Here is a 23,199-nt window from a genome sequence, read left to right on the forward strand (position 1 = left end):
GTATGGTCAGCTTATCAAGATCTATAAAAAAAATTACACTAAATTATATGGACAATTTGAGGAGAATTGTCACTTTTCCAATATTGAGTTCACTCACCCATATTGAGTTCCAGGGCCATGGTTGTACATAATTTTCTCACTCCATGCCCTTCAAGAAACTTTCAGAATTTTCTTCATAAAAGTTATATGTGGTTTTTATAGATTTATTCTTAAGTAACTTTTAGCTTTTATTGCTAACCTGAATGGAATTTCATGAGTGTGGGTGTGAGTGTGAATGAAACAGAGGAAGAAATACATTATACAAAGAGAAGAAATATGAAACATCATGATTTTAAAAACAGCAATATAAAACACCCGTCTGCTTCCTTCTCCACAAGAAATAGGACTTAACAGAAGCTTATGTGTTCCTCTCTGATCTTATTAGCCTCCCTCCTCCACACTTATAATCTCTATCTTAAATTTTGTGTTAAACATTCCAGTACTTCTCCTTACAGTGTTTTTACCTATGTATGTTCCCATGAACAATGCATTGATTAGGTTTTGATGGTTTTCAACTCTATAAATAAAATCGTGTTTTTGCAATTCAGCCACATTAATGCATGTGATGGTTATTCAGTCATTTTCACTGTGTGGTACATTTCATAGTATGAATATGCCAAATTTTATCTGTTCTCCTGTAGATAACTATTTGGGTTATTTTCATTTCAGGACTAAAACAAATAATGCTCCTATGAACAAAGCTAGGCAGTATCTTCTGGCGAATATACCGGTTTTTCAAAGGTCTATGGCTGCGAGTGAAAATGGTGAATCATAGTGTCTGCTTATGTTCAAATTTAAAGCTATTTTTCAAAGTGATACACCAAATTACACTCCAACATTGTCTGAGAGTTTCTGTTGCTCCACATTATTAAAAACAGCTGGTATAAGGCTAATTGTGTTTTATATCCACAAACTTTTTTTTCCATGTGTACATTTCACCTAGCTCCCATTTATAAGTGAAAGCATACAGTATTTGACTTTCTGTTTCTGAGTCATTTCACTTAAGATAATGGTCTCAAGTTTCTCCCACGTTGCTGCAAAAGACATAATTTCATTATTTTTTATGGTTGAATATTATTCCATTGTATACATATACCACAACTTCTGTATCCACTAACCCACTGATGGACACTTCCGGTGATTCCATGTCTTTGCTACTGTGAATAGGGCTATCATAAGCATACAACTGCAAGTATCTTTTTGGTATAATGATTTATTTTCCTTTGGGTAGATACCCAGTAGTGGGATTGCTGGATCAAATGGTAGTTCTACTTTTAGTCCTTTGAGAAATCTCCACACTCTTTTCCATAGAGGTTGTACTAATTTATATTCCCTCCAGCAGTGTGTAAGCCTTCCCTTCTCTCTGCACCCTCACCGGCATTTGCTATCTTTTGTATTTTTAATAATACCATTCTGATAGGGTAAGAGTATATCTTATTGTAGTTTTCATTTCCATTTATCTGATGATTAGTGATGTTGAGCATTTTTTTCATGTGCTTATTGGCCATTTGTATGTCTTCTTTTGAAAAATGTCTATTCATGTCCTTTGCCCACTTTTTGATGTGGTTGTTTTGTTTTGCTTTTTTATTTTTATTTTAAATTCCAGAATATATGTGCAGGATGTGCAGGTTTGTTACATAGAAAAATGTGTGCCATGGTGGTTTGCTGCACCTATCAACCCATCACCTAGGTATTAAGCCCAGCATGCATTGGCTATTTTTCCTGATGCTCTCTCTCCTGCCGTACCTGCCAACAGGCCCCAAGGTGTGTTGTTCCCCTCCCTGTGTCCATGTGTTCTCATTTTTCAGCTCCCAATTATAAGTGAGAACATCCAGTGTTTGGTTTTCTGTTCCTGCGTTAGTTTGCTGAGGATAATGGCTTCCAGCTCCATCCATATCCCTGCAAAGGACATGATCTCATTCCTTTTTATGGCTGCATAGTATCCTATGGTGTATATGTACAACATTTTCCTTATCCAGTCCATCATTGATGGGCATTTGGGTTGATTCCATGTTTTTGCTATTGTGAATAGTGCTGCAATGAAGTATGAGTGCATGTATCTTTATAATAGAATGATTTATATTCCTTTGGGTATATACCTAGTATTGAGATTGCTGGGTCAAATGGTACTTCTGTCTTTAGGTCTTTGAGGAATCTCCACACTGTCTTCCACAGTGGTTGAACTAATTTGTATTCCCACCAACAGTGTAAAAGTGTTCCTATTTCTCCACAGCCTCACCAGCATCTGTTGTTTCCTGACTTTTTAATAATAGCCATTCTGACTGGCGTGAGATGGCATCTCATTGTGGTTTTGATTTGCATTTTTCTGGTGATTGGTGATGTTTAGCCTTTTTATATATGTTTGTTGGCTGCATAAATGTCTTCTTTTGAGAAGTGTCTGTTCATGTCCTTTTCTCACTTTTTAATGGGTATTTTTCTTGTAAATTTGTTAAAAGTTCCTTGTAAATTCTGGATATTAGTCAGATGGATCGATTGCAAAAATTTTCTCCCATTCTGTAGGCTGTCTGTTCACTCTGATGATCATTTCTTTTGCTGTGCAGAAGCTCTTCAGTTTAATTAGATTCCATTTGTCAATTTTTGCTTTTGTTGCAATTGCTTTTGATGTGTTTGTCATGAAATCTTTGCTCATGCCTATGTTCTCAATGGTATTGCCTAGATTTTCTTCTAGGGTTTTTATAATTTTGAGTTTTACATTCAATTCTTTAATCCATCTTGAGTTAATTTTTGTATAAAGTGTAAGGAAGGGGTCCAGTTTCAATTACCTGCAAATGGCTACCCAGTTCTTTCAGCACCATTTATTAAATAGGGAATCCTTTCCCCATTGCTTGTTTTTGCCAGGTTTGTCAAAGATCAGATGGTTGTAGATGTGCGGTCTAATTTCTGAGTTCTCTATTCTGTTCCATTGATGTGTGTGTCTGTTTTTGTACTAGTACCATGCTGTTTTGGTTATTGTAGCCTTGTAATATAGTTTGAAGTCAGGTAGCATAATGCCTCCAACTTTGTTCCTTTTGCTTAGGATTGTCTTGGCTATTTGGGCTCTTTGGTTTCATATGAGTTTTAAAGTCATTTGTTCTAATTCTGTGAAGAATGTCAATGGTAGTTTAATGGAAATAGCATTGAATCTATAAATTACTTTGGGCAGCATGGCCATTTTCACAATATTGATTCTTCCTATCCATGAGGATGGAATAATATTCCATTTGTTTATGTCCTCTCTGATTTCCTTGAGCAGTGGTTTGTAGTTCTCCTTGAAGAGATGCTTCACTTCCCTTGTTAGCTGTATTCCTAGGTATATTATTCTCTTTGCAGCAATTGTGAATGGGAGTTCATTCATGATTTGACTCTCTGCATGTCTATTTTTGGTGTATAGGAATCCTTGTGATTGTTGCACATTGATTTTGTATCCTGAGAATTTGCTGAAGTTGCTTAACAGCTTAAGAAGTTTTCGGGCTGAGACAATGGGGTTTTCTAGATACAGAATCATGTCCTCTACAGAGACAATTTGACTTCCTCTCTTCTTATTTGAATTCCTTTATTTCTTTCTCTTGCCTGATTGCCCTGGCAAGAACTTCCAATAATGTGTTGAATAGGAGTGGTGAGAGAGGGCATCCTTTTCTTGTGCTGATTTTCAAGGGGAATGCTTCCAGCTTTTGCCCATTCAGTGTGATATTGGTTGTGGTTTATCATAAATGGCTCCTATTATTTTGAGATATGTTCCATCGATAGCTAGTTTATTGAGAGTTTTTAACATGAAGAGATGTTAAATTTTATCGAAGGCCTTTTCTGCGTCTATTGAGATAATCATGTGGTGCTTGTTTTAGTTCTGTTTATGTGATTAATTATGTTTATTAATTTGTGTATGTTGAACCAGCCTTGCATCCCAGGGATGAAGCTGACTTGATCATGGTGGATGAGCTTTTTGATGTGCTGCTGGATTCAGTTTGCCAGCATTTTATTGAGGATTTTTGCATCGATGTTCATCAGGGATATTGGCCTGAAGTTTTTTGTTGTTGTTGTATCTCTGCCAGGTTCTGGTATCAGGATGATGCTGGTCTCATAAAATGAATTAGGGAGAAGTCCCTTCTTTTTAATTGTTTGCAATAGTTTCAGAAGAAATGGTACCAGCTCCTCTTTATACCTCTGGTGGAGTTCAGCTGTAAATCCGTCTGGTCCTGGGCTTTTTCTTGGTTGGTAGGCTATTTATTACTGCCTCAATTTTAGAACTTGTTATTGGTCTATTTAGGGATTCAACTTCTTTCTGGTTCAGTCTTGGAAGGGTGTATTGCTCCGGAATTTATCCTTTTCTTCAAGATTTTCTAGTTTACTTGCATAGAGATGTTTATAATATTCTCTTATGGTTGTTTGTATTTCTGTGGGGTCAGTGGTAATATCCTCTTCATCATTTTTTATTGTGTCTATTTGATTCTTATTTCTTTTCTTCTTTATTAGTCTAACTAGAGGTCTATTTTATTAGTTTTTTCCAAAAACCAGCTCCTGAATTTGTTCATTTGTTAAAGGGTTTTTCACGTCTCTATCTTCTTCATTTCTGCTCTGATCTTTGTTATTTCTTGTCTTCTTTGGGGTTTGTTTTCTCCTGGTTCTATAGTTCTTTTAGTTGTGATGTTGGTTAGGGTGTTGATTTGAGATCTTTCTAGCTTTTTGATATAGACATTTAGTGCTATAAGCTTCTCTCTTAACACTGCATTAACTGCATCCCAGAGATTCTGGTACGTTGTCTCTTTGTTCTCATTGGCTTCAAAGAACTTCTTGATTTCTGTCTTAATTTCATTAATTACCCAGGAGTCATTCAGGAGCAGGTTGTTCAATTTCCATGTAGTTGTGTGGTTTTTAGTGAGTTTTTAATCTTGAGTTCTAATTTGATTGCACTGTGATGTGAGAGACAGTTTGTTATGATTTCAGTTCTTTTGCATTTGTTGAGGAGTGCTTTACTTCCTGTTATGTCATCGATTTCAGAGTAAGTGCCATGAGACACTGAGAAAAATGTATATTCTGTTGTTTTGGGGTGGAGAGTTCTGTAGATATGTATCAGGTCCACATGATCCAGAGCTGGGTTCAAGTCCTGAATACTTTTGTTAATTTTCTGTCTCGACAATCTGTCTAATATTGACAGTGGGGTGTTAAGGTCTCCTACTACTATTGTGCAAGAGTCTAAGTCTCTTTGTAGTTCTCTAAGAACTTGTTTTATAAATCTGGGTGCTCCTGTATTGGGTGAATATATATTTAGGAGAGTTAGCTCGTCTTGTTGAATTGAACCCTTTACTATTGTGTAAAGCCCTTCTTTGTCTTTTTTGATCTTTGCTGATTTAAAGACTGTTTTGTCAGAAACTATGATTGCAATCCCTACTTTTCTTCTGTTTTCCATTTGCTTGGTAAATTTTTCTCCATTTCTTTATTTTGAGCCTATTTGTGTCTTTGCACATGAGACAGGTCTCTTGAATACACCACATGGATTGACTCTTTATCCAGCTTGCCATTTTGTGTCTTTTAATTGGAGTGTTTAGCCCATTTTCATTTAAGGTTAATATTGTTATGTGTGAATTTGATCCTGTCATCTTGATGCTAGCTGGTTATTTTTTAGACTTGTTGAGGTAGTTGCTTCATAATATCATTGGTCTTTGTACTTCAGTGTGTTTTTGTAGTGACTGGCAACGGTTTTTCCTTTCCATATTTAGTGCTTCCTTCAGGAGCTCTTGCAAGGCAGGCCTGTTGGTGATGAATTCTCTCAGCATTTGCTTGTCTGAAAAGGTTATATTTCTCCTTTGCTTATGAAGCTTAGTTTGGCCACATAGGAAATTCTGGGTTGGAAATTCTTTTCTTTACAAATATTGAATATTGGCCCCCAATCTCTTCCTGCTTGTAGGGTTTCTGCTGAGAGATCCACTGTTAGTCTGATGGGCTTCCCTTTGTAGGTGACCTGGCCTTTCTCTCTGGCTTCCCTTAACATTTTTTCCGCCATTTCGACCTTGGAGAATCTGATCATTACATGTCTTGGGGTTGATCTTCTCATGGAATATCTTAATGGGGTTTTACAGATTTCCTGAATTTGAATGTTTGCCTGTCTAGCTAGGTTGGGGAAGTTCTCCTGGATAATATTCTGAAATATGTTTTCAAACTGGGTTCTGTTCTTCCCATCTCTTTCAAGTACCCCAATCAGTCATAGGTTCAGTCTTTTTACATATTCCCATAGTTCTTGGAGATTTTGTTCATTCCTTTTTATTCTTTTTTCTCTAATCTGGTCTGCCTGTCTTATTCAGCAAGATAGTCTTCAAACACTGATATTCTTTCCTCCACTTGGTCTATTCAGCTATTAATACTTGAGGTTGCATTGTGAAGTTCTCGTGTTGTGTTTTTCAGCTCCATCAGGTCATTTATGTTCCCCTCTAAACTGTTTATTCTGGTTAACAGCTCCTGTAATGTTTTATCATCATTCTTAGACTCTTTGATTTGGGTTAGAAGATGCTCCTTTAGCTCGGTGATGTTCGTTATTACCCACCTGCTGAAGCCTACTTCTGTTAGTTCATTCATCTCAGCCTCAGCCTAGTTCTGTGCCCTTGCTGGACAGATGGTGCAATCATTTGGAGGAGAGGATGTGGTCTGGCTTTCTTGAGTTTTCAGCATTTTTTTATTGATTTTTTTCCTCATCTTCATTAGTTTATCTAGCTTTGATCTTTGAGGCTGCTGACCTTTGGATGGAGTTTTCGTGAGGAAATTTTTGTTGATGCTCTTGTTGCTGTTGCTTTCTGTTTCTTTGTTTTTCTTTTAACAGTCAGGCCTCTCTTCTGCAGGGCTGCTGTGGTTTGCTGGGGGTCCACTCCAGACCCTATTTGTCTGGGTCCCTCCCACACCTGGAAGTGTCATGAGTAGAGGGTGCAGAACAGCAAAGATGGCTGCCTTCTTCTTCTGGGAGCTCTGTCTCAGAGGGGCACCGACCTGATGCCAGCAAGCTCCTGTATAAGGTCTCTAGCAACCCCTGTTAGGGGTGTCTTACCCAGTCAGGAGGCATGGGATCAGGGACCCTTGTAACAAAGTACTCTTGCTGCCTCTTGGTGGAGGGATTGTGGTGTGCTGAGGGGAATCTCACTCCTCCAGACTGCCTGGATTCCTCAGAGCCCGGAGGGAAAAAGACTAAGTCCACTGATCTATGGAGGCTGCAGCCACCCCTCCCCACTGGGGCTCCACCACAAGGAGATCAGAGCTCTGTTTGTAAACCTCTGGCTGAAGTTGCTGAAATTACCACAGGGATGCCTCACCTGGTGAGGAGGGATGGGCCCGGGTCTGGCCTAAAGAGGCAATCTGACCATGATCTGCCACAGCTGCTGTGCTGTGCTGTGGGGAATTCCTCCTGGGTCCAAACTGCCCAGTCTCCCCAGCACCGGCAGGGGAAAATGGATGACTGAAGCTGCAGTAATAGCTGCTGCCCCTCCCCTCAGAAACTCAGTCATCTTAGGCAGCAGGCAGCTGCAGTGATGATAGCCGGCCCACCCTCCAGGAACTCGGTAGCCTTAGGCAGTCTCCAGCTGAGCAGCTGAGAATCTGCACAGCTCTGTGCTGGAGACCTAAGGCCCTGGTGGCACAGGCTCACAAGGGAATCTCCTGATCCACAGGGTTGCACAGATCCATGGAAAAAGCATGGTTTCCTGGGCAGGGTAGCACAATCACTGCATCCCATGGCTGGGGTTGGGGGATCCCCTTGCCCTGTGTAGTTCCCAGTAGGCCATTGCTCCACCCGGCTTTTCCTCATTCTCCGTGGGTTGTGTCAACTGCCTAGTCAGTCCCAATGAGAGAACCTGGATATCTCAGTTGCTAGTGCAGGATTCACTTGCTGTTTTTTTTCTTCTCAGTGGGAGCCTACCACAGCTGTTTCTGGTCTGGTCGGCCATCTTGGCCCCTCCCTTTTTAGTCAATCCAGAGAAAAAGTAAAGATGATCACAAGATGAAGTCCCACAATAGGCCATCTGCAAGCTGAGGAGCAAGAAAGCCTGTCCAAGTCCCAAAATCTCAAAAGTAGGCAAGCTGACAGTGTAGTCTTCAGTCTGTGGCTGAAGGCCTGAGAGCCTTGGCAAACCACTGGTGTAAGTCCGAGAGTCCAAAAGCTGAAGAACATGGAGTCCAATGTTCAAGGGCAGTAAGAATCCTGAACAGGAGAAAGATGAAGGCCAGAAGACTCAGCAAATCTGCTCTTTCCATCTTCTTCTGCCTGCTTTTGGTTATTTGTTTTGTTGTTGTTGTTGTTGAGTTGTTTGAGTTGATGGTGAATTCTGTATATCCACAAAGTTTTATTTATTTTTTAAGTTACAAGTAAAAATTGTACATATTTATAGTGTACAATATGATTTTTTGATATATGTATACATTGTGGAATGGCTAAATCAAGTTCTTTAACACATGCATGACATCACATACTTATGTAACCCAGAGTCCCTGGGTTTGGGGGTATGTACTGTGAAAAAGTACCCACTTGTAACTTGTACCTTGAGTTATTATTGTTTCAAAACAGTTCCAGGAAGAAGTTCAGCCCCCAAAAAACAAAAACCAGTTAGATTCAGAAAGGCCTGAATTGGAGATGAACTTTGGCAAACTCTCCTCATTACTATTCTAAGATCTTGCCTATGGAGGAGTTTTTCACCATTTTCTATACATACAATGTATGTAGAAGCATGATCAGTGACTGTGCTTGCACTGCCTTTACTGCACCTCTACATCCATAAAGTTAGCTAGTCTAATACAAGATGTTTTCACCTTTATTTGGAGAGGCACTGCTTTGGGAAATATCCCAGGTGTCCTCTTTACTTATTGCATGTAATAAAATCCCTGTGTTAAATCCTCCTTGGTTGTGGTCATTGGACTGTCACCCACCAAGTGATCGAACCCACCCATTGTGTGGTTAACACCTATTTTGTGCACGTGGTGAGAACATCTAAAATCTCTCTTAGCCATTTTCAAATATGATATATAATGATTAATTGTAGTCACCATAATAGACATAGGAAATAGACATCTTGAAATTATTCCTTCTGCCGAGATAAAATTTTGTGTCTTTGACTGGCATCTCCCCAGTCTCCTCAATCCCCAGCCTCTGGAAACCAACATTGTATTCTCTGCTTCTATGAGTTCTATATTTTTAGATTTCACATGTAACTAATATGATGCAGTATTTGTCTTTCTGTGCCTGATTTATTTCACTTAGCATAATATCCTACAGGTCATCCTTTTTGTGACAAATGCCAGGATTTTCTTCTTTTTTTAGGATGAATAGTATTCCATCGTGTATATATACACTACATTTTCTTTATCCATTCATCTGTTGACAAACACCTTGCTTATATTATATCTTAGCTATTGTGAGTAATGCTGCAGTAAACACAAGACTGCAAATCTCTTTGACATACTGATTTTACATTGTTTGGATATGCACCCAGTATTAGGATTATCAGATCATATTATAGTTCTGTTTTTAATTTTTTGAGGTGCCTCCATACAGATTTCTGTAATGGCTATAATAACTTATATTCCCACCAACCTCTAGCAGAGTTCCCTTTTCTCCACATCCTAGACAACATTTCTTATGTTTCATCTTTTTATAATACCCATCTGAATGAGTGTGACATTGTATCTCTGTATTAGTCTGTTTCCACACTGCTGATAAAGACACATCCAAGACTGGGTAATTTACAAAAGAAAGAAGTTTATTGAACTTACAGTTCCACATGGCTGGGGAGGCCTCACAATCATGGTGGAAGGGAAAGAGGAGCAAGTCACATCTTACATGGATGGTGGCAGGCAAAAAGAGAGTTTGTGCAGGGCAACTCCCATTTTTAAAACCATCAGATCTTGTGAAACTCATTCACTATCATGAGAACAGCATGGAAAGATCAACCCCCCGTGATTCAATCATCTCCCACTTGTCCCTCCCACAATACATGGGAATTATGGGAGCTACAAGATGAGATTTGGGTGGGGACACAGAGCCAAACCATATCAATCTTATAGTGGTTTTGATTTGCATCTCCCTGATGATTACCATTTGTATGTCTTCTATTGAAAAATGTCTATTCAGGTCATTTGCCCATTTAAAAAATCTGTTTTCTTAATACTCAGTTGTTTGAGTTTCTTATACATTTCAGATATTAATCACTTATTAGATGTGTGGTTTGCAAATATTTTCTTCCATTCTGTAGGCTGTCTCTTCACTAGGTTGAGTGTTTCCTTTGCTGTGAAGAAGCTTTTTAGTTTGATGTAATCTTATTTGTCTATTTTGCTTTCGTTGCCTGTGCCTTTGGGGTCACATCCAAAAAACTCATTGCCAAGACCACTGTCATAGAGCTTTTCCTCTATGTTTTCTTGTAGTAGAATTATAGTTTCAGGCCTTATATTTAAGTATTTAATCCATTTTGAATGGATTTTTTATATGATAAGAGATGAGGGTCTAATTTTATTGTTCTTCATATGGATATCTAGTTTTCCCAGCACCAATGCTTGAAGAAACTGTGTTTTACCCACTGTGTGTTACTGACATCTTGGTCAAAATCCGTTGACCATAAATGTGTAGATTTATTTCTGGGCTCTCTATTCTGCTCCATTGATTATGTGTCTGTTTTTATGCCAGTTCCATACTGTTTTGATTACTATAGCTTTATATATATTTTCAAATCAAGTAGTGTGATGTTTCCAGCTTTGTTCTTTTTGCTTAAGATTGCTTTGGCTATCCAGTCTGGTCCCATACAAATATTAAAATTGTTTTTTCTAGTTCTGTGGAAAATGTCATTGGAATTTTGATAGGAATTGCATTGAATCTGTAGATCACTTTGAGTTTTATTCAACAATATTAATTATTCCAATCTACAAACATGGGATATTTTTCTATTTGTTTGTGTCTTGTTCAATTTCTTTCATTAGCATTTTATAATTTTCAGTATACAGATATTTCACCTCCTTGGTTAAATTCATTCCAATTTTTTTGGTAGCCATTATAAAGGGGATTTTTTTCTTAAATTTTTTCAAATAGTTTGTTGTTAGTATACATAAATGCTACTAAGTTTCAGATGTTGATTTTTTATCTTGCAGCTTTACTGAATTCATTTATTCACTCTAACAGTTTTTTGCAGAGTCTATGTATATGATTATGTGTCTGCAGAGACAATTTTATTTCTTCCTTTCCAATTTGGATGCCTTTTATTTGTTTCAATTGCTTTGCCTAGTATGTCCAGTATTATGTTGGTTAAAGTTGCAAAAGTGAGTGTTCTTGTATTACACCTAATCTTAGAGAAAAAGCTTCTCCCCCATTGAACTTTTCATCATTTAATATGGTGTTAGCTATGGGCCTGTCATATATGACCTTTATTGTGTTGAGATACATTTCTTCTTCACCTAATTTGTTGAGAGTTTTTATCATGAAAGTATGTTGAATTTTGTCAAATGTTTTTTCTGCATCTATTGAGATAATCATATAGCTTTTGTCCTTCATTCTGTTTATGTGGTGTATCACATTTATGGATTTATTTATGTTGAAACATCTTTGCATCCCAAAGATAAAATGCTTTTTCATTTTGTCCCATATGTTGGGTATACAGTGGTATCTCGTTGTGGTTTTAATTTGTATTTTTCTAATTCTAATGATGTGAGTACCTTTTTACATCTCCACTAGTCACTTGAATCTCTACTTTTATAAAGTGCATATTAAAACTTTTTCTCTATTTTCTATTGAGTCTCTCTTTTGTTGATTTGCAGATCATTATGTATCTTGAATATTAATCCTATTTCAATTACATTTGTTGTAAAATATCTTCCCACTTGTGATGTCTTTTCACTCTCTTTATGTGTCTCTTGAGAGAGACATTCATCATTTTAAAGTGGCCAAACTTAGTCTTTTCTTTATGGGTCTCGTTTTTAAAATAATATTTAGGAATTTCTTTCCTACTTTATGTTATAAAGTTAATTTCTCACATTGCCTTCAAGGTATAAAAATTCTAAAATTTTCATAGTTTTGGTTTAAACATTTAAGTACTTAATCTACATGGAATTGATGTTTGTGTATGACATAAGGTAGGGATTGAATAAAAGTTAAAATTACATTTTGCCTTTTGTATTTGTTTACAGCTGGTATATGGGAACTACATCAATGTCAATAAATTTATTTTCTATTCAGCAGCCTTGCTGATCTTTCACATTGGTTCTAATATTTGTTTGTAGATTTTCTTTGATCTTCTATGTGAAAATCACTGTCTAAAATTTTTTTTCTTCTTGCCTGGTGCTTTATCATTTCTTTCTCTATTTATCTATTACATTGGATAAGAGCTCCAGCACAATGTTGCATGGAAGCAGTGACAATAAGAATTCTTGTGTAGCTCCTGATTTTAAAATAAAATGTTCCTAAAGATACCATTCACTGGACTACAGAAATGTCTTTCTATTCCTAATGCTAAGTTTTCTTGTTGCTGTTTATTTTAAAATTTTGAATGCATGTTGTATTTTATCGATTTCTTTTTCTAAGATGTAGTAGGCAAAATAACAGCTCTCATAGATGTCTATGTCCTAAGCCCAATAGCCTGTGAATATGTTGCCTTATATGGCAAAAGATCTTTGCAAATGTATTTAATAATTTTGTGATGGGAGGAATATCCTGGATTCTCTAGGTAAGTTAAATGTAACCATGGATCCTTGTAAGAGAAAGTCAGGAGAGTCAGAGTCAGAGAGAACAAGATTGGACCATACCACGCTGCTGGTTTTGAAGGTACAGGATGGGTCCACAGCCAAGGAATGTAGACTGCTTTTAGAAGCTGGAAAAATCAAGGAAACAAGTTTCCCCCTTAAGCCTCCAGAAGGAATGCAGCTCTGCCAACACCTTGATTTTAGCACACTGAGACTGACTTTGGACTTCTGACCTCCAGACTCTAAGATAATAAATTTGTGTTGTTTTCAGCTCGTAACTGTGTAGTGATTTCTTTACAGCAGCAATACAGGATAAACGGGCTATTGTATTATGTTTTAACCGTCTTTAGTCTGTGATTATAATAAATTACTTTATAGAATTTTAGTTCTACGTGATGGAAGTTGCACATCACATCTTCCCACTCTTTCAGTAGCACAAATAAACCATCCTTATATTCTTGATGTGACCCTTGCTTGGTTAAGATGTCTTATTTTTATTATTCAGTAGTAAATATAGTTTGAAAATATTTTCTTCAGTATTATTATAACTATCTTCATAAATGAGACTGACCTTTAATTTTTCTTCCTCATAGTATCTTATCTGTTTTGGGTATCAAGGTTCTTGGACTTATTAAAGGAAATTAAGAATATATCCTCTTTTACTATTGTATAGACATGTTTTATAAGATTGGGGTTTTTTTTTCCTTAAAACCTTCATAAAACTCATCCTTAAAAGGTTCAGAGATCAGTACCACTGTTGTGTGTAGATATTTAAATGCTTGTTCAAATTTTCAGTGCTTATAAGTCTTTTGGGTTTTGTAATTAATTTTTAATAAATTTTAGTGATTTACATTTTTCCAGAAAGGTGTTTGTCCCAGCTCTTTTTTAACCCAGTAACATAAATCTGTTTACAGTAGTCTCCTATTTTTTTCACCATTTTACTTTTACTTCACATGTAATTATGCCTACTATTTAATTACTGCTATTGTTTATTTATGACTTCTCTTAGCTTATCTTGTTCAATGTTGGACCAAGTTAATCTATTTTGTAATCATTTCCAATAATTCACTTTTGGTTTATTTAATTTTATATTGTTTGTTTGATTTCCATTTTCTTAATTTATGTTCCTATCATTATTATTTTCTTTCTTTTATACTGTTTGTGTTTACTCTATTATTGTTATTTTTAACATTTAGTTGAATACTTAGCTTATTATTTTTCAATCTTTTTGTTTTCAAATTTGTATGGAACTATTATGTTTAAGGAAGAAACCGAATGAAGTACAAACAAAGTAATTGTACCTGCCCCCTGTTGCCTGTTGAAATTTTATTAGGTTGGTTCTTTCTTGTCCTCTGAGGAAATTCTACCACAGGACTGATAACTTTTCCACCATTTCAAATAATAAGCATCTTCTGATTTCTGTAGTCCCAAGACTAATCTGATTTCAGTAATTAAAATGGTGGGTCTCGTGTAATAGTCAAAACTCTGAAATTCATTAAAAGTTAAAGGTTATCCTCATTCAGGTTCTTCAGAAGAGAAATCTGCTGTGCAAAAGAGAGGTATGGGAGCCAGGCATAGGGTACACATGTCTGTAGTCCCAGCTACTCTGGAGACTGAGGTGAGAGAATCTCTTGAGCTCAGGAGTTAGAGGTTGCAGTGAGCTATGATCATGCCATTGCACTCCCACCTGGGTGACAGAGTGAGACCTCATCTAAAAAAAAAAAAGAAAAAGAAAAGAAAAGAAAAAAATAAAAGACAAAAGTGGCATGTGGTGAGTTTCCTCTTTATTCCTAACCCTGTCACTTCTGCCCCTCCCCACTAGCTTCGTAGCCAGAAATAATGGTAAGATGCAGGAAGGCCTTCCTCTGCTAGTAATGGTACTCAAAGGTTACTCTTTTATTTATTATATTAGTTAAGGTGCAGTCTATGGTGCTATGAAAAAGAAGACTTAAAATACGGTGAGAAGACAAAAGCTTATTGTCCCTCATAGAGATAGACAAGTGATCTAGGCTCATGAGACAGCTTGGTTCCATGAGGTTTTCCCAAGATCCAGGTTTCTTCTAATTGCTCCATACCTCAAGAGTTTTGTCCTCATTTTTATGCTCCAAGTGGTCATCACCTTGCCTGCATTCCAACTCACAGGGAAGAGGAGGAGGAAATGGAGTACATCCAAGGAAAGCAGTTTTCTTTTAAGCAAGTGATGGAAGTTGAACGTCGCATCTTCCCACTCTTTCAGTAGCACAAGCAGTTCACTCTTCTCTTTGCTTCTGAAACATTTTGCTTATCAAAAATGTATGCTTTGAACTTAGGCATCTAGATTCATTTAGACAAGCCCAAACTGAGGGACATTTGCAATATTTCTGGCCAATACTCTTCAAAAATGTCATGGTGATGAAAGACAAAGGAATTATTCCAAATCAAAGCAGACTAAGGAGACATTACAACTGAATGCAATGTGTGATCCTACATTAGATTCTAGATGACAAAAAGAACATAAGAACATCCTAAATTTAGATTCTAGATGACAAAAAGAATAATTGGTAAAATTTGAATAAAGTTTGTAGGTTAGATAGGGCTGTGTTGATGGTAATGTCCTGGTTTTATCATTATACCGTTATTATGTAAGATGTTTACATTTGGGGAATCTGGATATATACAGGATTTTTATACTATTTTTCAATTTTTTGTGTGTCCAAAATTATTTCAAGATAAAAGGTAAAAAACAGAATTTATGTTCTTTTGATCTCAAATATCTAGCCCAAAACTCACTTCTGAACTAGTATACACAGCTGCCTAATTGAGGTCTCCACTGAGACGTACCACAAGCATTTTCAAGCTTAACATTTCTAAAATTGAACTCTTGTCCTAGCTTCAAAATCTCTTCTTTCAAAAGTCTTTTCCAGATCACTAAATTCCGCCACTACCCATCCAGCCACTCAAAGCAGATTTCTTGACATCATTCCCCATATCCAACTTATGATTAAAATCTGTTGATGCTCTCTTCAAATACATATCTCAAATACATTTGATTGTTCCCATCTTCATTGGCCTTACTCTAGTCCAAGTCACTTTATCTCCTGTGTAGTATATTGTAATCATCTCCTAAGAAGTCTCCCTGCTTTGACTAAGATTTCCCTCCAGTCCATTCTCCAAACAGGAGCAGAAGTGATTCTTTTGAAATGTAAATGAGATAATGACTGTCTTATTTTCAAAATATTTCAATAACTTCACATACCTGGAATAAAATTTAGAACTCTTAACCTGATTTAAGATGAACTAAGCATTATATAATTGTCTGCCTTCCCTACACTTCCTTCAAACACAGAATGTACATTCTGTATACTCTTAGTACTCTCTCACTCACCAGCTCCAGATCACAGTGCACATAAGGTTCTTTAAGAACTGCAATTTATTTGCTGAACCATAACCCTCTAACATTGCTATTTCTTCTCCATTGGATGCTCCTTCCACACCTAGGACCCTCTTCCTTATAGTCCTCTCTTGACTAGTTCTTTTTCATCCTTCAAATTCAGATCTCAGATGAAATATCATCTTCTTCTAGCGGTCTTCCTGGCTACCCAACTTAAAGTGTGCCCCTACCATTATTCTCTCTCACAGAATTCTGCCACAAGAAAATTTTTAATTATACTTTTACTTGTTATTTGTTTGGTGTCTGCATTTCCAATTAGGCTAAGAGCTCAATGAGAGCAGAAATCAGGTCTGTTTTATCCACCTTATATATCAAGTACCTAACTTACGTTCAGCAAATACATGGTGAGCAACTACATAAATAAATTAATTAAAGTACCTGTGCTGAGATGAACTATTCCCATTTACCAAGAGGATTAGGTAGTTCTGGTTCTGATTCACTGCATGAAATGTGTCTCTTGTCCTAGGGAACTGAGACAAACGCTCAATTCAGTAGCTAGTAGAAGTACGACTACATCATTTTGAGCACTAAGCTAAATTTGTTTTGTGATGGTGATCACCCCAGGTTAGAGATGAGGAATTATTTCCATACTTCAAAAGAATATAGAAGAGATGTTCTATTCAGTAAATGTAGTTGAGCACCTCCACTTAGAGGTCATTCTGTGATTTAATGTGAAGTGAGTAGCTTGACTTCATATGGTTGTTGGGCCATTCTTCTAACCACCAATTCATTCTGGAATTGTATTTTGCAATGCATTAAAAAGTACATGCTGGACCTCTGCTTGTATGTTGAAAACATACACCAAGGGACAACCATTTTTGAGTCTCAGAACTATACTCTTGGGAAAAATCAAAATTATATAGGGAAATTGGCACTTCCTATATTCGGGTCAGAATGTTCTAGATATGGGGTTGCAATAAAAATGTTCTTTTATAACTTACTGAACTTTGGAAAATTGGATGCATGAGAGATCTGAGTTCAGAATAATTTGCCTTTGAAGGTCTTCTTGGGAATATATTAGTTCCAGAAGCAAAATAAAAAGAAATGAGAGGGGAGATTTTATTTTAAGGATTTTAATTTCACTGTAGAAACTTGATAATTGAAACAGAATGGAAACAGAAAGTGTTTGGATTTCAAGCTTTCATATTACTGCATTGTATTAATAGGATTACTGGCATCTGTACATAATTCTCTCTAATTAGCTGAGTTACATAGTCTAAAATGGATTATAAAATAGGGGGTGAAGTTTTCCAGAATGTAACCTAAGAATTAGCATAAGCAATATAATCTGGACTCATTTCAGAATCTCCTCTGATTATTTCTTAATCTTTTTCCCATAAGAGACATCCTCAACTTTAGATTTGCCTTTGAAACCCAATGAATTAACAGGATAAGTAGCAAAGTCAAAGAAAATAGGCATTAGGAGAGGGAAAACCACCTCTACTGATTGGGACTTTTTTACCTGCAAGAAACAACTCTCAACACAAAAAAGGTTAAACAAAAGGGAGATTAATTAGTAACACACTTCCATAATCATAGACTCAAAGAGGAAGCAAAGAAGCTTTGAAGACCTCAAGGAGTAACTCCCCAGGATCATCTCTCATCAGTCTTAGTTTCCCCAAGTAGTGAGAGACATAGAACCAGCAGCTCTAAATCATACTCCTTCAGCTTTTTGCAGTAAAGAAAGAAAGAGAAAATTTCCCCCAGAGAGCTACTTAGGAAACAAATCTCAGGGAAGTATTCTGGTTGGCTACTGAGCCAATCACAGTGTCCAGGGGAACATGATAATCTAATTGGATAGAACTGGATCATGTGCACAGCCCTGAGACAAGTAGCTAGAGGAGTACTATGATTGGAAACTCTACCAGAATATCACAATATGAATTAAAAAATAGAACCCACACTTCCCCCACCAAAGGCTAAGAGGACATTTTTGTTACAAGAAGACAAGAGAAGCTGAGTAGCCAAAACCACAGATATTCCTCTCACTTTCCTTCCATCTACATTCAGGAGGGAAAGGAAGAGAAAGGGAGGGGAGGGGAGGGGGAGGGGAGTGGAACGGAGGGGAGGGGAGGGGAGGGGAAGGGATGGGAGTTTTAATGTCAAAATGACTTAATCAAAACTTTTCCTCACTTTATTTGTGATAGAAAGTGAATACCTTTTTCTCCCTTTATTTAGAGAGACATACATATATATCAACATTTGAAATGGGGATTTCTATACAGGGGATTTGTAAGAGTTATGTGCATCCAGTTTTCAATGCATCTTATTATTTTTTTTTTTTTTTTAGAGAAAGGTATGGTGGGCAAAATAATGGCCCCAAAGATGTCTACATTCTCATCCTCAGAACACATGAATATGTTGCCTTACATGGCAAAGCAAAGGGGACTTTTAAAATGTGATTAAGCTTACAGACACTGAGAGGAAAAGACTGCCTGTATTATCCAAGTAAGCCCAATCTAATCACATGAATAATTAAAAATGGAAAACCTCTCCTGGCTTTGGTTAAAGAGAGACTTGGTGAGGGTTAAAAAGTCATGGAGATGCAAAGTTGCTGACTTTGAAGATGGAAGAAGGACACCAGGAGTCAGATGGTACAGATGACCTCTAGAAGCAGGAAAGGCAAGGAAGCAGATTCCTCCCTAGAGCCTTCAGAAAGTAACTGAGCCTGTTGATACCTTAACTTTAGCCCAGTGAGACTGGTTGTCAGACTTCTGGCCTACAGAGCTTTAAGATAATAAACGTGTGTTGCTTCATAACACTACATGTGTGGTAATTTGCTATTGCAGCAACAGACAACTAACAAAAGGCAATAGGAAACTATTTACAAAACTTTGATTAAGAACAATAGACCATACACAGAGTCTGTTAATATTTGCTTCCAATGACAAGAAAAAATTGTAAAATAGCTCTTCTATGGGGGTTGCAAGTTCTATTGGGAGGATTTTCCAATGAATTAGTAAGATGTGAGGACATAAATTATACCATATTCACACAGGTGATGTCATCCCTTGTATCAAAAGGTTAGTGTACAGTGTAGTTTGGTTTTTTCTCCCCTGACTTTTTCTTCTAGCTAGCCTAAATTATGGAAAGATTTCAATTGGCTTTAGGAGATTTGGGCCATTGAGTGATATGTTTCTGCTTCTCATATAACAAACTATGGGGCCAGAAACCATGTAGAAATGACCCTGACCTGAGAGACAGAAGCTAAGCAGGGGTGAGAAAGCACTGGGTGAGTCTGAATCTACATTATAGAACAGAACTGTAGAAATAAGACATTCTGTCTGGCAGATATCAATGATGCCAGTGGTAATGCTCAAGATCTTTATAGGCAAGAATAATTGAAATGGCATGTATCTTCAAGAGAAGAATTCCCACTATAAAAAGAACTCAGCTGGTATTGTGGTGGGAAAATTGAAATCCTGAAAATTGGTGTCACTTCCCTCTTTGTTCAAATGCCCAATAAATACAAGAGTTCTAAATGTAGTCAAATAATGGATAAACTAAAGAGAACCTAAGCAAACCATGTGTAAATTACATAAGCCATTCTGCAACAACTGGCCTTAATGTCATCAGATACAAACTCCTTGAAGGCAGAGACTTTGTTTCCTACTTTATACTCAGTGTCTGGCAGTAGATAGTTAATATGAGCATGGTGAATACATGAAAAGCATTACAGTTGCATCATGACTTCAGATGCCAGGATGTCCTGTTTGGCTTGGAGCCATCCTAAGAGGACATAATCCTAAATTTCCTCAGCTAAAGAACAGCCAATTCCAGAGCAGTTCTTTCTTTTGCTTGATAGTGCATGCCAGTCACTTAAAATGAGCAGCAACTCCTGCAGCTGTTATAAAGACACACACCAATGACTGCTTATCTCCAGGGGAAGCCTGGACATTAGATGTCTAATGTCAGCTGCTTAAATAACAAGCTGATGATATTGGATGAATCTTTTAGTGCCACACAGCTCTGTCTCCTTCTTCCCAAACTGAGAGAGCAATAACCTCTTTCCCCCTCAGGCCTTTGTACCGACTGTTCTCTCTGTTTGGAATGCCCTCCCCTAGAATTTGCCAACCTGGCTCCTCCTTACCATTCTTGGCTTAGCTGGAATGCCACCTACTGAAAGAGGCAATCCCATCTGGAGTAGCTCCTCAGTCACTGTTTATCATCTCATCTCGTTTTATCACCAGCTTACATTCTCTTGCTTCTTTGCTTTTGCTTTTGCTTTTGCTTTTATTTTTGTTTATTATGTCTTCCCACTAAAATTTAGCTCTTTTCCTCCTTCTTCACCTCTATATACCCAGCTGCTAGAACACAGTATATGTTCACAGTATATGTTTAATAAATATTAATGAATAAAATATGTCAAAGGTAAGTTCATGGGACCCATTCAATAGACAATGTTACAATACCTGAGAAAGGCTTAGGACTGCAGTTCCAGTAGACAAACAGAGGACAGGAGACTAACTAGTTAGTCCTTTCCCCCTTCCTCCCCACATCCCCTACCTGCACTCTGTAATCCCTTACAGGAGCACCATACATACCATCTGACATTCTCTGGAATGCTGAAGAGTTTCACCACAGACCTAGAGGCTCTCCAGGAAAGAAACAATGCGTTATTCAGTTCCATGTCTCAAACCCCTGGCATGTGACAGTCACCAGCAGGGCACTCATTAAATGTTTGGTTGAAGGAATGAAATTGTTGAGACCTATAGTCAACAAAACTGAGCTTAAGTACCATCTTTGCTATATAATAGATGACTTGGGCAAATCTTACACTCTCTGAGCCTCAGTTTCCTCATTTGGTTAATAAATATCAAATGAGATAACAATTTAGAATCTCCTAATATAGGGTCAGTTTTCAAAACACATTGGTTTAGGAAAAAGGGCTATTCACTTTGGTGAAGCTTACTCTTTTGAATGAAAAAAAAAAGTGACAAACAACATTTTGAAGACTAAGAACAAGAAATATAATTTATTATCCCATAAATAGCAAGACACATATTTCAGTTTCCTACTAAGGAAAATATGGTAAGAGCAATAAAGATAAAACCTTGTTGTTTTTCAAAGCTGGAGGAGGAAATGATAATTAAATAACACTGTGATTTTTCTTTTAATGCAATTTTTAAATGCATAAGGAAATGGCTAAAGGTTGCTAGGATCTGTCACCAAAAGTATTTTAATTCCTCCTTAAGGTTCAGAAACGTATATGAAGTCTCCCCCATTTTTTTCCTAAAAACGGTTAATGTCATGATTCAGGAATATTTCACAAACTTTCACAGAGTAATGAGCCCATCTTGTGGCCTTTTATAATATTGCCACTTTCAAAGTGAAATATTACTTGTTAACCATAGGTTTAAATGGTGTCTTTTATTCAACAAATATAACTTTTGAGCACTTACTGCATGCCAGGTATTATGCTGCTGAATGCTGGAGATACAATGATGGGAAATGAAAAAAAAAAAAAAAAAAAGACAAGGTCCCTGCTCTAAAATCATATAAATTTAAAGGTGACAGACTTTTGGGCAGAGACATTATAGTAAAAGAATAGTTAAGTGCAATTGTACAAGGGTATAAACTTCAGTTACTACACAAGAGTTAAGTGTTCCCAGAACTCAGAATGAAACTGCTATATCCCCACTTCCAGGAATAACTCTGATCACTAAAGAAATCCTCTCTCCTTAGAGCCTGGGTTAAATATTAATTTCTAGTCTTCCACTTTATGAGAAAGTGTTACATATTTTCTTAACCTACTGAACCCACAGAAACCTGAGTACACCTAGTTCTCATCTAAATCTCTAATTCTCAGAGCACATCAAGGATAAAAATATTTTCAATAGCTTCTTATGTGTGTTCCCTATTGGTAAACAGGTTTTCTATTTCCTTAGGCCCACTCAAATCATAGCTTTAAGAAAATGGAAAGGCAAAAGTCTTTTAAGGAAGTGAAGGATATAAAATAGAAATTTTCATCATGCAGGAAAAGAAAGAGAAAGCCCATTCTTTCCAACCTCATGGTTTGGGGGGGAAATAGGGATAGAAGTCAGGAATATTAGCAATCAGATCTGTGCCCCAACCTCCTGGCTTCAAGGTTTTGTGGGATAAGTAGGTTGTAACAAGTGGGGAAGAGCATTCCCTATCTGAAGGTATTAGAGGACATCATTCTGCAGAGTGGCCTCTGACAAACAAGTGGCCACATCTAGTATAAGGAAGACAGTGGAGAGGTATGGTCAGCCACAGAGATAGAGGGCTGCCCCTCTATTCCTGTGTGACAGAGATACTGGGATGAGAACCCATGGGCCAATTGTGGGATCTGCCATAGCAGGGGCAAAGCTATTGCTGCTGTTGCAGGGTGAACATTCTTGGCCAATGGCAAATGGAGGGTGTGAAAAAGACTCAAAAGTGTCTCAGAACTATCAAGAGCTAAAGAGAGGCCAAGTTATCAGGAAGGGAAAATCTGAATCACATCTTGTCCAAGCTGAGAAAGAGGAATGCATAAGTTTACCCGGCAGAGAGGTCAGCAGTGGACCATAGTAGAAAGCAAGAATTAGAACAGATCAAACATCCTTCAGTAGACAGCAGATAATCTACACCTAAGGATGCCATGTAGGTTACAACCATATACCCCGATGCCTACATTTCTCTATCTCTTATGTATAGACTACCACCTTCACTTGCTTTTACAACTCATGCCTCACATACCTTATTCAGCAAAAGAAAGGTTCTTCCTAAGAATCCATTCTTCTTAAAAGGCATAAAAGAAGGAAAAAAGCTAATTATTTTTAAAATATATCCTCTAACAATGTTTATATGATCATGAGATTGAAAGTGTGAAAGTAGGGTTTCATGGCAAAAGCAAATTTTAAAATAATATTGAAGGCAATGAAGAGAGAACAGATTTTAAGCTTGACATAAGTTCTTTGGAAAGATCTCTGTGGTAGAAGTATGCAAGGTGAGCCAAAATTTTCTTCCCCTTCTTTCCCTCTTTATTCATTTAATTTCTTCAACAGATATTTTGGAGAACCTACTTTATACCAGATGCT

General features: G+C 37.1%; 1 long non-coding RNA gene across 1 annotated transcript in view, besides 1 other annotated feature; it reads right to left on the reverse strand.

Annotated features, from left to right (window-relative positions):
• The window catches only part of USP38-DT (USP38 divergent transcript), a 396,420-nt gene that overhangs the window by 275,573 nt on the left and 97,648 nt on the right, over window positions 1-23,199 (reverse strand). The window lies entirely within an intron of this gene.
• Window positions 7,516-8,015: an enhancer, noted in NCBI's record as "H3K4me1 hESC enhancer chr4:143992683-143993182 (GRCh37/hg19 assembly coordinates)". NCBI's record gives its function as "activates a minimal SCP1, AML or CMV promoter by ChIP-STARR-seq in naive H9 embryonic stem cells {active_cell/tissue: H9 hESC(naive)}" and the evidence as "EXISTENCE:reporter gene assay evidence [ECO:0000049][PMID:30033119]".

Source organism: Homo sapiens, chromosome 4 (genome assembly GCF_000001405.40).
Source record: "Homo sapiens chromosome 4, GRCh38.p14 Primary Assembly".
Classification (NCBI taxonomy): Eukaryota; Metazoa; Chordata; class Mammalia; order Primates; family Hominidae; genus Homo; species Homo sapiens.